The following is a 14,255-nucleotide window of genomic DNA, read 5'->3' on the forward strand; positions in this document are numbered from 1 at the left end:
GGCTGCTGCTGCCAGAAGCCTCTCTCCGAGGCTTTGGGAAATTAGCAATTTTCTGGTGGCAATAACCATTAGAAACCCTGATTTGAATATTATTATCTGAGAGAACTCAACTATTTTTCAAATCGAAAATCAAGACATTTAGTCAGACATGGAATGTGCCTGCCTTTTTTTTTTTTTTTTTTTTTTTTGGAGATGGAGCCTCGCCTTGTCCCCCAGGCTGGAGTGCAGTGGCGCGATCTCAGCTCACTGCAAACTCCGCCTCCCAGGTTCACGCCATTCTCCTGCCTCCGCCTCCCTAGTAGCTAGGACTGGAGGAGCCCGCCACCACATCCAGCTAATTTTTTTTATTTTTAGTAGAGACTGGGTTTCACCGTGTTAGCCAGGATGGTCTCACCTCGTGATCCGCCCGCCTCGGCCTCCCAAAGTGCTGAGATTACAGGGGAGAGCCACAAATGTTCCGCTTTTAAAATAAGAAAACTGAAACAAAAAGTTAAATTACTTCCTAAGAACAGGCAGCAAGACCTGACACACAATAAAATCGAATGTTTTCAAATTCCAGAAGCTTGAAATGTACCAAGTTTAGATTTGGGGGTATGCATTTAACAAAGGAAAACTCAGGTATTTCCCTTGATCAGAGTATAGGATACAAATATTACTGAAAAGGTAACTAAGAAGTATCTTTTTTTTTTTTTTTTTTTTTTTTTTGGTCATCTAAAATCGTCAAATTATATAGAGAGGAAAAGCACAATACATACAGTTTTTAGGAAGTAATCACAAATTCTCTCTTAGGATGGTGATTCTTATCCTTCTTTTAGGGGTGAATGCCATCACACCCACATGTCTTCCCAGTCTCTTTATTGTCCTCAATCAATTTCCCATTATTATCTCCCGAGAGATCAGCACTTTATCTGCCCCAGATGGGATGGTGGTGGCAAAATGCATAAGCCATAGTCTTAAAGTAGCAAGGCTTATGCTTCACACCCAATTACCTGTAGCACAGTCTATACCTAAACACTCAGGATGAATTAATGCTCACACTATACTTCAGATGGCTATAAGTACAGTAAGCTATACTTACTGTAGTATCTTTGACCTCCAAGAAGAGGTCTCTGAAGAAGGGTGAAGAATGCAGGGGGAACCAGAAAATTATTTGGCTGATTATGTTATCACCATCACTATTTATGAAATACCTCTTAATGTGGCTTCAGGCAGAAGCACACGTTTTCAATTTGGAAGTTAAAATAGCTTCGATTGTGCTTTATCTAAGCTGCCTACCACAAATCTGATAATGATACATGTCTCTTTTAACATGGACAGCATTGCTCTTCGTGGCCCACACTCACAAGATGACAAGTTAAAATAGTAACAACAGGCTTCTTTTATTGTTCCTCCTAGGCTACAACTAAAATGCAAAAACAAAACAAAATGAAACAAAAAACTGGGGGAGGAGGAATTTTCAATTTTCAATATTTTGCAAACTGTGTCTAAATTGATGATCCAGATCTCATCTCATGACCTGAAGAAGTTCAGTTTTTCTATTGTAAAATGTAAATCTCAGCCCACCTCCCCAAAGCATATGATAATGAATTATGTGAAAGAAAACATTATATAAAACAAAATGCTCCAGAAACAGGGTGTTGTAATTGACTCACGTTTCTCCATGAATTCCTTCTTGCTTTCTACTCCTGTCATTGGAAACTTTCTGAAAATCAGTTGTCTTTCCAACCTTGATATTTAGAATATAACTAAAAATGTCCTTAGTGGTTGAAGCTCCCTTGTGGGTTAATTCCTCATTCTGAAATCAGTGATCAGTCCATGCTACTGCAAGGGTAGAAAACATAATAGAAAGTACAAGAAATTATTGATGCCTTAAATATCCTGAAAGCTATTATTTTTTCATTTAATTCCTAACACAAACACTTTCTTTAGTGATTGCTCTCTTCCTCTAAAGCCCAACGTAGGTGTGGCAGCGATGTTTGAGTACGGATATGGGTATGCGTGAGAAGAAGGAATGAACAATTTGGCTATCAAGACTTCCAGTCAATTGAAATTTGCTCCATTATAGACTGAACTACTATATTCCTTTTTTAAATTATTATTTTTTAACTTTTATTTTAGGTTCAAGGGTACATGTGCAGGTTTGCTATACAGGTAAACTCATGTCACAGGTGTTGTTGTACAGATTATGTCGTCACCCAGGTACTAAGCCTAGTACCCAATAGTTATTTCTGATGTCAACTTTTCTGAATAGACAGTGGCTCTTTGTCTTACTCTTACTAACTTTGCTAATAATAATACAATTGGGTGGTCCTTTGGACTCAATTTTGTCCCAACCCTAAAAAAAAATTTATTTCTTGAAGTCCTAACCCTCAGTGTGATGGTATTTGGGGGCAAGGCCTTTGGGAAGCAATGAGGTTTAGGTGAGGTCATGAGGGTTGGGCTCACATGATGGAATTAGTATCATTATAAGAAGAGACAACAGGCCAGGCATGGTGGCTCACACCTGTAATCCCAGCACTTTGGGAAGCCAAGGTGGGCGGATCACAAAGTTAAGAGATCAAGACCATCCTGGCCAACATGGTGAAACCCATTCTCTATTAAAAATACAAAAATTAGCTGGTCGTGGTGGCACACACCTGTAGTCCCAGCTACTCAGGAGGCTGAGGAAGGAGAATCACTTGAACCTGGGAGGTGGAGGTTGCAGTGAGCTGAAATCACGCCACTGCACTCCAGCCTGGCGACAGTGAGACTCTGTCTCAAAAAAAAAAAAAAAAGACACAACAAAGAGCTTGCTCACTCTTTCTGTCCCTGCACTTGTGCACACAAAGAAGAGGTCATATGAACACACAGTGAGATGACAGCTGTCTGCAAACCAGGAAGAGAGTCCTCAACAGAACCTAATCATGCTGGCACCCTAATCTCATACTTCTAGCCTCCAGAACTGAGAGAACATAAACTCCAGTTGTTTAAGCTACCCAGTCTATGGTATTTGTTATTATAGCCCAAGCTAAGTCAGGTGGAAAGGCAGAAATATTTTGAGAAGAGTCATTTCTACAAAAACAGAGTTGTTCTAAATGAAATGGCCAGATATTTCATCTTCTTCATACTAGTATTTATGAAAGTTTCATTAAACACCACTTGGCCAGCACCCAGGCCTGCCACCCTCAGAACGGCAAACAAAAGCAAATGATTTGAGGAACAAAAGAGTGGACACAGAGCCTCTCAGAAGATGGCTCCATCTTCTGAGATGATCTTCTGAGATCATCAATTTTCTGCACCTGATGTCCTACTCCAATTGTAGTAGATAAGAGCAAAGACACTTCCTGATCCTGTGGAAAATGCTGGAGCCCTGCTGATGGAGAGGCTGACACTGGGACCAACAGAAGGCCGGACATTTATTTGCTGCAGCCCTTCTGCACCTGGGCCCTCTTCAGGCCTTGTACCTTGCACTCCCCATGCCACTGTAGCACCTGGTAAGCTGAAGTTAGGTATTTGAAGAGATAATTTGCCCCCAACAAAGAATTACTTAAAAGAAAAAGGAAACCACTAAATTCCACTTGACAAACCAGTTTGTTCAGTTTTGACTTTTGCAAATTTGAAACTTTCTCTTTGGCACCATATGATTCTGTTACATTAGGGCTCATCAATGCTAAGATACACAGCTAGGTCTACCAGCTGCCAGTGGTCAAGAATGAAAGAACCTCTCAGAGAGAGATCAGTTTCTAATAACCTAACAGTTTTCCTTGGCTATTACAAAAAAAAAAAAAATTAGAATAAAATGTCAGTGCCATGCAGGCAAGTACAGATATGGAAATGAAAGCTCTGTCTACAACTGCAAGATTTGTTTGTTAATAAAATTGATTGGGATCAACTCGAGATAACTGCTAGAAGACGCAAGATTTTACTTTTAGATATGTCATTTGTTTTTGTTTCCACTCTGGGCTCAAAAGAAACGTTGCTAATGTTTTTCCAGTGGCACAATGCAGTTCTAGAAGAGTTAAAATAAGAAACCCTACCTGCTTAATCTGCCAGAAAACACATGAGAGGAGCAATCAACTCTGGGAAGAGTTGCTCTGAATGAGGTATGCCTGGCTGCTTTAGGCCAAGCTGTTTGTCAGTCTTTCAAAATTCAAGTCATTACCAGATGCTGATCTACTATAATACTGTGATATTTTATCTGATTACACTTACCTGATTGTGCCTTATCTGCTATTTGCCTTCCCATTCTTCCATGTATATTAAATGCAGGTGCTTTTATTATTCTGAAAGCTAGAAAGTGTTGACTGTTCTGAATATAAATGGGGATATTATATCATTAACTTGCTCCGAAAGCAGGGCCATTCACTGTGTAAATCACATGCAAGGTACCTAGTGGAGACACAATAAACCATAATGTCTTGAGAAAGAAAGCAATGAGGAATGGATAAGGAGATAAAAATTTAAGGCATTGTTAAAGAAGGATAATCTTCAAAATCCTATTTGGTTCTAGCATTTGTTGATAATATAACCTTTATATTAGAAACTTTTTTAAGTTCATAAAAAAATATTTTAGGGGACTCATCACAACACAGAATGCTATCTCTAATAGGATTGCATAAAAACACTATCACTAACATTCTATGGCTTGTCTAAGTTGGGAAGACATTTTGAATATACTACTCTAATCTTTTAGAGAAGTATACTTTGCTTTAGCAAATATATTCTTACCCTACCTGGGTGTATTGCTCAAATAAGGTAAATAAATGGCCAAATGCTTTAAGCATTTTCCAGACATTAAAAGGTGAATAATTTAGAATCTGGTTGCATATTTCAAAGGAAGTAATACGCAGTGAATTAAGGCGGAACCGTGACAAAGTGCAGCTGCCCAATAGTCTGGGGTTATACGCTCTGCTTAGCTTCAGCCATGTTGGCCTCACTAAAAGTTAATCCATAGTTATTTAAGTGGAAATTTTCAGAAAATCCATTTCGGAGCAAATGTTATGTGAGAGTCTAAATGAGCCACTGCCCTCTGTTTGATTGAATATCAGGTGCCCTGATCATATTTACCAGTGGGTCAGATTCCTCTAAGATGTAACAGCTGTGTAAAGGAACACAGGCTACAACCTTTGCCAGAAAGACTGTCGCCAAAGTCATCTGACCATCAGATCTGGAGGTGTGAGACAGAAGACAAATGTGAGGACAACCGGGAACAGGAGGAATAAGGTAACCCAGGAGGGTGCAGTTTTTACTCTCACTGTCCTCCCAAAGTTTCTGTGCCAGGAGACTGAAGCACAGGACTAGGTGCTACTCCTCCCTCCCTGCCACTCACCATTATGTATAAATGCACAGAGTATCCATTTTCCTTGTCTTTTTTGTTTTTTTCTCAGATGGAGTCTTGGTTTGTCATCTAGGCTGGAGTGCAGTGGCACGATCTCAGCTCACAGCAACCTCCGCCTCCCAGGTTCAAGCAATTCTCCTGCCTCATCCTCTTGAGTAGCTGGGATTACAGGCACCTGCCACCATGCCTGGCTAATAGAGTATCCATTATCTTTCACCTGAACAAATGTGTATTTATAACACCTCTTTAAGTTAAGGTTGTTCTTTAATCAGAGAATCCTTTATTATTCATAAACTATATGCATGAAAACAAAAGATGAATATGCAAGATGGTCTTACCTTTTCAATAATTTCATATTTGGACATATTTTCACAGGAAAGACATAATGAGATTCTCATAACCTGATTAAACTTCATTTATTTGTGTATATATAAAAATAATTTTAACTGGGTACTATTTTACATCATTTAGAAGATTTATTCTCAAAAATTATAAACATTAGTGAAAAGGGAAAAATATTTTAAACATAAATGCTCAAACTATAGAAATTTTACAGGAGAATATGCTCATGATTTACTAGTAGCCAACATTTCCTAGCTCACAAAAGCAGTAACCATAAAGGAAAAAAGAGATAAATTGTACTTCATCAAAATTAAAAACTTCTACTCACCAAAAGACACCATTAAGAAAAATGAAGAGGCAAGTCATAGACTTGGAAAAAGCATTTGTAAAACCTTAATCTGACAAAGGACTGGTACCTAGGATATACAAAGAACTGTGACCACTCAACAATAGAAACATAAACAACTCAATTAAACATAAGCCAAAGATTTAAAGAGTCAAATTACAAACACACTCAAATACATATATACACACAAGTGGTCAATAAGCCCACAAAAAAGTGCTCAATGTCATGCATCATCAAGAAAATGCAAATTAAAACCACAAAGAGACACCAGTACACACATCCCCAGCATGGCTATAGTTAAAGAGACTGACACCATCACATGTGGGCCAGGGACGGAGTGCATGCAACAGCACTTTGGATGGAAAGGTAAAATGATGCAACCACACTGGGAATATGTCGGGCAGTTTCTCCAAAAAGAAAACCTATACCTATCACATGACCAGCAGTTCCACATGTAGCTATTAACCCAATCTAAATGAAAAATACATTCACAGGGCCGGGCACGGAGGCTCACGCCTGTAATCCCAGCACTTTGGAAGGCCGAGGTGGGTAGATCACCTGAGGTCAGGAGTTCAAGACCAGCATGGTCAACATGGTGAAACCCCGTCTCTACTAAAAATACAAAAATTAGTTGGGCATGGTGGTATACGCCTGTAATCCCAGCTACTTGGGAGGCTGAGGCAGGCGTATCACTTGAACCTGGGAGGCGGAGGTTGCAGTGAGCCGAGATCACACTGCACTCCAGCCTGGGTGACAGGGCAAGACTCTATCTCAAAAAAAAGAAAGAAAGAAAGAAAGAAAAATACATTCACAAAAAGACTTGTGCAAGAATACTCATAGTCACTTTTATCATATGGCCAAAAACTAGAAACAATCTGTGTCCGTCAATAAGAGAACAGATAGACTGGTAAGCAATGAGATGAACAACACAAAAGAACGAATTACTGATACATGAGACAACATGGATAAATCTCACAAACATTATGCCGTGTGAAAGAAGTCTTACACAACAGTATATACCTGTATATCTTACGAGTTCATTTATATAATGCTAGAATATGCAAGACTAATCTAGAGTGCGAAAACTTCAGAACAAAGGTTGCCTCTGGGGTTGTAGGAGGGATATCCTGAAAAGGAGAATGAGAAAACTTACTGTATTCTATATCTTGATAGGTAATACACGTGTGGCTATTCCTCAAAACTCAGGATCAGGTGCAGTGGCTCACGCTGTAACCCCGTCACTTTGGAAGGCTGAGACAGGAGGATTGCTTTACCTCAGGAGTTTGAGACCAGCCTGGGCAACATAGGGAGATCCCCTCTCTACAAAAAATGAAAAAAATTAGCCAGTGTAATGGTGTGTGCCTGTAGTTCTAGCTACTCAGGGGGCTGAGGCGGGAGAGTCACTTGAGCCCAAAAGGTCAAGGCTGCAGTGAGCCATGATCATGCCACTGCACCCCAGCCTGAGCAACACAGCGAGACTCCGTATGAAAAAAAAACCAAAACAAGAAACAGTAAATATACTCAAGTTGGTGCATTTCAATCAAAAGAAAAATGTAAACAAATATTAAAGTCTAGTTAATAATAAATATCTGAAGTATTTAGGGGAAGTGTGCTAGTGTCTTCAATTCACTTTGACATATGTCACAAATCATAAGATATATTAATGAATGGATAGATATATGATAAAGCAAGTATAGTAAAATGGTAATCATAGAATCTAGTATGTGGGTGTCTACTGTAAAATGTAAAACTTTGCTATATGCTTGAAAATTTTCATAACAAAATGTTAGAAGAAAATAAAAAATAAAATAAATATTAAGTGCAATACGTATGGTAGTAAACTTCCTTGGTATTAACCTTCCAAACTCTCGCTATGTTGCCCATTTGTTAAGTTTCAAATTATAACCACAATGAAGGCCTACTTATTTGGTTCTTAGAAATACTCCAACAAGCTTAAATATACTAAACTCCCCAACAGCAAGATTTTTTGCCTGTTTAACCAGTTACAAGCACCTAGTACTGTGTTTGGCACATAGTAAGTAGGATGTAGTAGATATTAAATATTTGTGGAATGAACTTCATCACATATAGTTCTCACTTTTTTTTTTTTTTTTTTGAAAGACAGGGTCTTGCTATATTGTCCAGGCTGGACTCAAACTCCTGGGCCCAAGTGATCCTCCCAGTTAGGCCTCCCAAGTCGCTGAGAATACAGGTGCATGCCACTGTGCTCAGCCACATATATTTCTTTCTTTTTTTTTTTTTTTTTCTTTTTAGAGACAAGGTCTTGCTATGTTGCCCAGGCTGGTCTCAAACTCCTGAGCTCAAGTGATCTGTCCACCTCAGCCTCCCAAAGTGCTGAGATTACAGGCATGAGCCACCATGCCTGGCCACATATATTTCTTAATCAAGCTATCTCAGTGCTTTTAGAAATGATGTGAGATGTGATAAAAGCAATGCAAATATCTTCTACAACCTAGCCCATAACCAAAAAATATTCCTGAAGTTAAGTATAGGTGATTCTAACACTGGTAAAATGTTAACCATCTAACTAAATTGATTTTAAAATGACAATGGGAGTTAATAAAATAGAATCCAAAGGATCCATGTAGTTTAGTTATGGATTTATTAATCCATAATTTAGTATTAATAATATTTAATTTAATAATATAATTATTAATAAATCCATAAATAAACTAAGCTTAACTTAGTTGGGCATCAGAATTATCTGAGAGTTTTCTAAAAAATACAGGTTTCTAGGCTTCACTTTGGAGATTCTGAATATAAAAAGAGACCCATGTACCACTACCAATTTCCTGCCCTCTTTGCTTTACTTTCCAATTGAATGAGAACTTTCTCATGGAAAATATATGATTGTTGTATACTAGGCTATTGGAGCACAGCTGGAAAATATAGTACCACTATCAATGATTAATAATGCTCTTAACTCTCCTTGCAGCTACTGAAGTAAGAAGATACCAGTCCTCGTCCCCTGACACACACAGAAAGTCACTGATGGCATTCAGATACAAACAGAGCAAAGGGATCAATGGTCCACGGACCCTGCTCTTTCCCGGGGTGCTATTCCAGTGGCCAGAGGAACCTCCCATCACTTCAGACTTTTGTTTTATTTGTTGTTGTCGTTATTTTTGGTCTTCTATCATTGACTCATAGCTCTCTCACACATTTTAATGTATTCGCTGCATCAGACCCAGAAAAACATTTGCCTGGTGTGTGAAAGAGCCTCTGATTACAGAATGAACTTTGTCTCTCCATAATTTGAAGAAGTTAAGGAAGGTCCCCACCCAAATGTTATGTCCTATTTTGATGCTCAAAATCTTAGTAAAATCACAGTGCAAAGGAAAGAGCACTGACTTTGGCATCACACAGATGAAACTTGGCTCTGCTATTCTCTTGTATTATTGTGGGTATGGCATCTCTGACATGAGGATAATAATCATTCTTCATAAGGCTGTCTTAATGAGTAAAGATAACACATATAAAGTCCTTGGCACAGTGCCTGACACACCGTAGATAACATTATAATAATAACAATAATTATTATTACCTTTATTGCTAAGCATTGCTGTTTCCCTTGGTTCTCTCTTAAAATGCCACTGTTGGCCGGGTGCGGTGGCTCACACCTGTAATCCCAGCACTTTGGGAGGCAGAGGCTGGCGGATCACGAGGTCAGGAGATCGAGACCATCCTGGCTAACACGGTGAAACCCCGTCTCTACTAAAATTACAAAAAATTATCCGGGCGTGGTGGCGGGTGCCTGTAGTCCCAGCTACTTGGGAGGCTGAGGCGGGAGAATGGCGTGAATCCAGGAGGTGGAGCTTGCAGTGAGCTGAGATCGGCCTGGGCGACAGAGCGAGACTCTGTCTCCAAAAAAAAAAAAAAAAAAAAAAAAAAAAATGCCACTATTGATGGTGTGGGTAACATATTAAGTCCCTACTGTCTCTGTGTGAATGAAGGTTTCTTTCCTCTCTGTGGCCAGGGCGGTATTGATAGCACAAGCCCCTTTGGCAGGAAGAATACTTCAAAGGAGGCAGTGGATTGCCACAAAGACACTTGACTTAATTCACAATTTTGTCTAAGGTTATCCACCCCAAAGTAGTTAACATTCCCCATTCAGTAATTTTGCCCCTGCCAAGTGACATACTGAAACAAAAATCTTAAAAAAAAAAAAAAAAGAAAAACCTGTTTGTCCAAGTGTAAAAAACCTATAAAAGCACTGCAAATGAAGCAAACACTGTATGCAGACTATTAAAAATGTGTCATGATTTTTAACTGTTTTCAAATCTCTAACCACCCTGCCTACCTCCACCTGCCAAAATACTGGAGGTGCCTCACAGATCATTTCAAGGCATCTCCTGCCACCTCATTTCTTGTCTGCAGAAATGGATAAGGGATTGTTTGGGTTTTGTATCTCACGTGAAAGTTCAAGTCATATTTACTTGATTTAAAATTATCTGCTTGTTCATTTACAGAGGTGGGAATGTTGGCAGGCTTCAAAGACGGAAACCAGAAATATCAGGTAATATACCTGTATTAGTCTGTTTTCACACCGCTATAAAGAGCTACCTGAGACTGGGTAATTTATGAAAGAAAGGTGTTTAATTGACTCACAGTTCCACAGGCTTAACAGGAAGCATAGCTAGGAGGCCTCGGGAAACTTACAATCGTGGTGGAAGGCAAAGGGGAAGAAAGTACATCTTACCATGGCTGCAGGAAAGAGAGAGAGTGAGTAGGGAACTGCCACACACTTTTAAACCGTCAGATCTCATCAGATCTTGTGAGAACTCTATCACAAAACAGCATTAGGGAGCTGACGCTAAACCATTCAAAACCATCCCCATGATGTAATCACCTCCCACCAGGCCCCACTTTCAACAAGTGGGGATTACAATTCAACGTGGGATTTGGGTGGGGACACAGAGCCAAACCATATCAATACCTATCAAACAGCTACAAGTTTATACTCCCTGTGGCACATTTTCTACAGAAACATGGCAAGGCCTGGAAATGTCTTTGGCTATCAAAGTTATACAAGCCCCCTGCATAAAGTTAATACAAGTTAATTGACAAATATGTATAGCAAAGACATTGCATAACACAGCTTCATGAATATGCCACAAATAAAACAATTAAGCCACATAAATACTTTACTTATATTTTACAATACACCCTGACATTTACAATACACCCTGACATTATGGAGAGACAAAGACACAAATATTTTATTGACAGGGTTTCACAGATCATTGATAAACTTACACTCCTTTCTCATCCCATGACATCAGGTTTAAATTCAACTCACTAAACAGTCATGGTAAATTTCAAGTTAAAGAGTAGAGTTTCTAGAAGTGACATGGGGTAGAGGGGAAAGCTCTCCTTATTACTCACTAATAATACAAGGTATTTTGTCCATATACCAATGCTGACTTGCTGATCCATTAATCTGTAAAAATTTCTTGATTTCTAGAGACTCACTGAAACCCAAGGATCTGGATTAGAAAACACATACAGCATTCTTAAAAGTTAAAAGAAGTTGAGTAGCTATTTGTTTATAGACTAACTCATCCATCTAGAGATTGATCTCTTCCAAATTCTCTGTAATTCTGTTACTGTGTTATTCATGAAGAGCTGTGGCATTGTGTTTCAGAAATTACCAACCAGTCAGCACTGATGGGTATGTATTTTTCTTGCTCACTCAGTGGCAAGAAACATATATAATAAATTCTTAGGAACTTTATCTCTTTCAGTTAGGGTCAAAATAACTGCTGACTCAATGACTTGCCACAAAATTATTCCTGGGTAGAAGGGAGAACCACCTTCTACAGAAAAGAAGTATTTCAATACTTCAGCATTTCCAACAAGAAAGAGAGGTACCAATGAGAACAAAATAAGAAACTACGTTCTATGACTGAGAAATTGTTTCTAAATATTTTTCTACTATTTTTAATTTGTTTCCAATGGAAAGATAGCAACAGATTAACTGCTCACATGCCCATTTGATTTTTTTAAAAAATTAAATAAACTTATTTTACTTTTATGGTTGCAGATAGGAATTATTAACCATCTGTCTTTGTATTATTTAAACTTTAAACAAATAAACATTATTGTACAACCAGAAAGCAGTTATTCATAGACTTGTACATTTATTCCCCAGTAATTTTTCTTTGCTGTTTAAAAAGAGCCTAAAGCTAGCATCATTTAAATTATTTTTAAAATTCATTACCTACAATACTAAGAAAAACAGATGATAATACAGTATGTCATTGTAAATGAAAAAGGCCTTGAAGAGTTTTTTTTAACTTACTAGAAGCTTCAATTATCTCCTTTTGAGGAAATAGTTAAGAAGAAAAAATGACAACCTCAATCAACTCACACTGTTAAAAGAAATGAGGGTGGCACCAACAACTACCAGTTGACAGTTCTGCTAGTGCTCTTACATAGGCAAGGATCTTCTCATGTGAGAACAGCATATGGATAAATCAAGTATTTTTTTTACTTCTCTACTTCTTCAAACACAGAAACAAGTACACCTCTAGATTCAAACACTAGATCATAGAAAATAAATGGAAAAACAGTTTTTTGCCATGTAGGGCAGAGAATAGAGGAAAAATTGGAGTAAACAGGTGGAAAGACAAGTCTTAAGATATCCAAAGAGTATGTTTTGACCCCAATTTATTGAAATTAGAGAAATACCCTAAAGAACAGAAGTCAGAATAAACCAGCCAAAAGAAAATCTTTATTGAAAACACTCTGATATGCACTCCAGCCCAGTTACAGACATTATCATCTTGGCTATAGCCAAAGCCCAGTGTGATAGATTGTGTCTAAGATGGCTTCCAATGACCTGAACCTTTTGATATTTATGTCCTTGTACAACCCCCTCCTTTGAATATTGTCTGGACCTGGGAACTCACTTAAAAATGACAGATGTCACAAAAATACTCTGGCTCCTGTCTTGCTTATCCTTTCTTGCCCTCTTGCTTGCTTTAATGGAAGTCATGTGCCAGGTTATAAACTCCCCTATGGGGAGGCCTACGTGGCAAGAAATTGACAAAGGCCAATGGCCAGGGAGTAACTAAGGTCTTCAGTCTAGCAACCACAAGGAAGTGAATCCTGCCAAATATCAGATGAGTCACCTTGGAAGTGGATCCTCCCTCAGGCCTTGCCATCAGTTGGATCAGCAGCCCCACTGATATCTCAATTGCATCCTTGTGAGAGATCCAGAGCCAGAGGATCTAGTTAAGCTGTATCCAAATTCCTGACTCAGGGAAGTTGTGAGGTTAATAAATGTTTGTTGCTTTAAGCTACAAAGTTCTGGAATAATTAGTTACACACAAATAGATAACTAATACAGCCTGTTTTCCGAAGCCATTGAATCAAAGTATTTTCTATAATGAGGTTCAAATGTCCCCCTAAATCTTGTACAGCAATTCTACTGCTAAATTCTCCACTGGCTTTAAAAAGCATTATTCCTTTAAGAATTATAGTGTCATAATAATTCACAACCTCTTTCTGTAAAGTCTTTAAACTATCTGTGTATAAAAGATTCTGGACTGTTTAGCAACACACAAATAATATCTTAAAATAACTCCAATGTGGAAACTGAATTCAACAGAGATACATATTGTCTCTGGGACAGTTATAGAATGTACAGAATATGTCCATGGGAACTAAGTTTAACATTTAAAGATTCCAATCATAAGAAATCTGATATCTCACCCTGTCTCAAAAAAAACAAGAAAAAGAAATCTGATATCTCACTAAATGTACAGATATAGGAAAAATAAATGCGTTTTGATATGCAGAGAATGTAGCTTATTGTTGCTAAAAGAGTAAAACAAAAACACAGTAGGAGGACTTTTTTTAAAGAATAAGTTGAGTTTTTATTAAGGTTTAATACAGATAAGCCAATAAATTATAATATTCAATAGATTTTTGCCAAAGAATGTCCCAGTGTAACCATCATCTACAATGAAATAGAACATTATTAGCACCCAGAAGTCCTCCTCACTCCCCAACCATGTCTAGCTTCTTTCATTAAACATTACGTTTGTGAGATTCTTTCATATTGCATGTAACATTAGTTTGTTCATACTCACTGATATATAACATTCCATTATATGAATAGAGCACAAACTAATTATTCATTCTGCTACCAATGAACATTTGTGTTGTTTCTAAATTTTGGCATTAAAACTACTTTGACTATGAACATTTTTATATATCTCTTCT

General features: G+C 38.0%; 1 long non-coding RNA gene across 1 annotated transcript; it reads right to left on the reverse strand.

The window, feature by feature from the left end:
- Positions 1 to 437: 437 nt before the first annotated feature.
- On the reverse strand, positions 438 to 7,226 carry LOC107987028 (uncharacterized). The gene is made up of 4 exons (XR_001746568.1): positions 7,159 to 7,226; positions 4,192 to 4,368; positions 1,653 to 1,821; positions 438 to 477 (listed from the first exon to the last, which is right to left on the reverse strand). It is a non-coding gene; the product is annotated as an uncharacterized LOC107987028 (long non-coding RNA).
- Between the last annotated feature and the right edge of the window lie 7,029 nt (positions 7,227 to 14,255).

Source organism: Homo sapiens, chromosome 9 (genome assembly GCF_000001405.40).
Source record: "Homo sapiens chromosome 9, GRCh38.p14 Primary Assembly".
Lineage (NCBI taxonomy): Eukaryota > Metazoa > Chordata > Mammalia > Primates > Hominidae > Homo > Homo sapiens.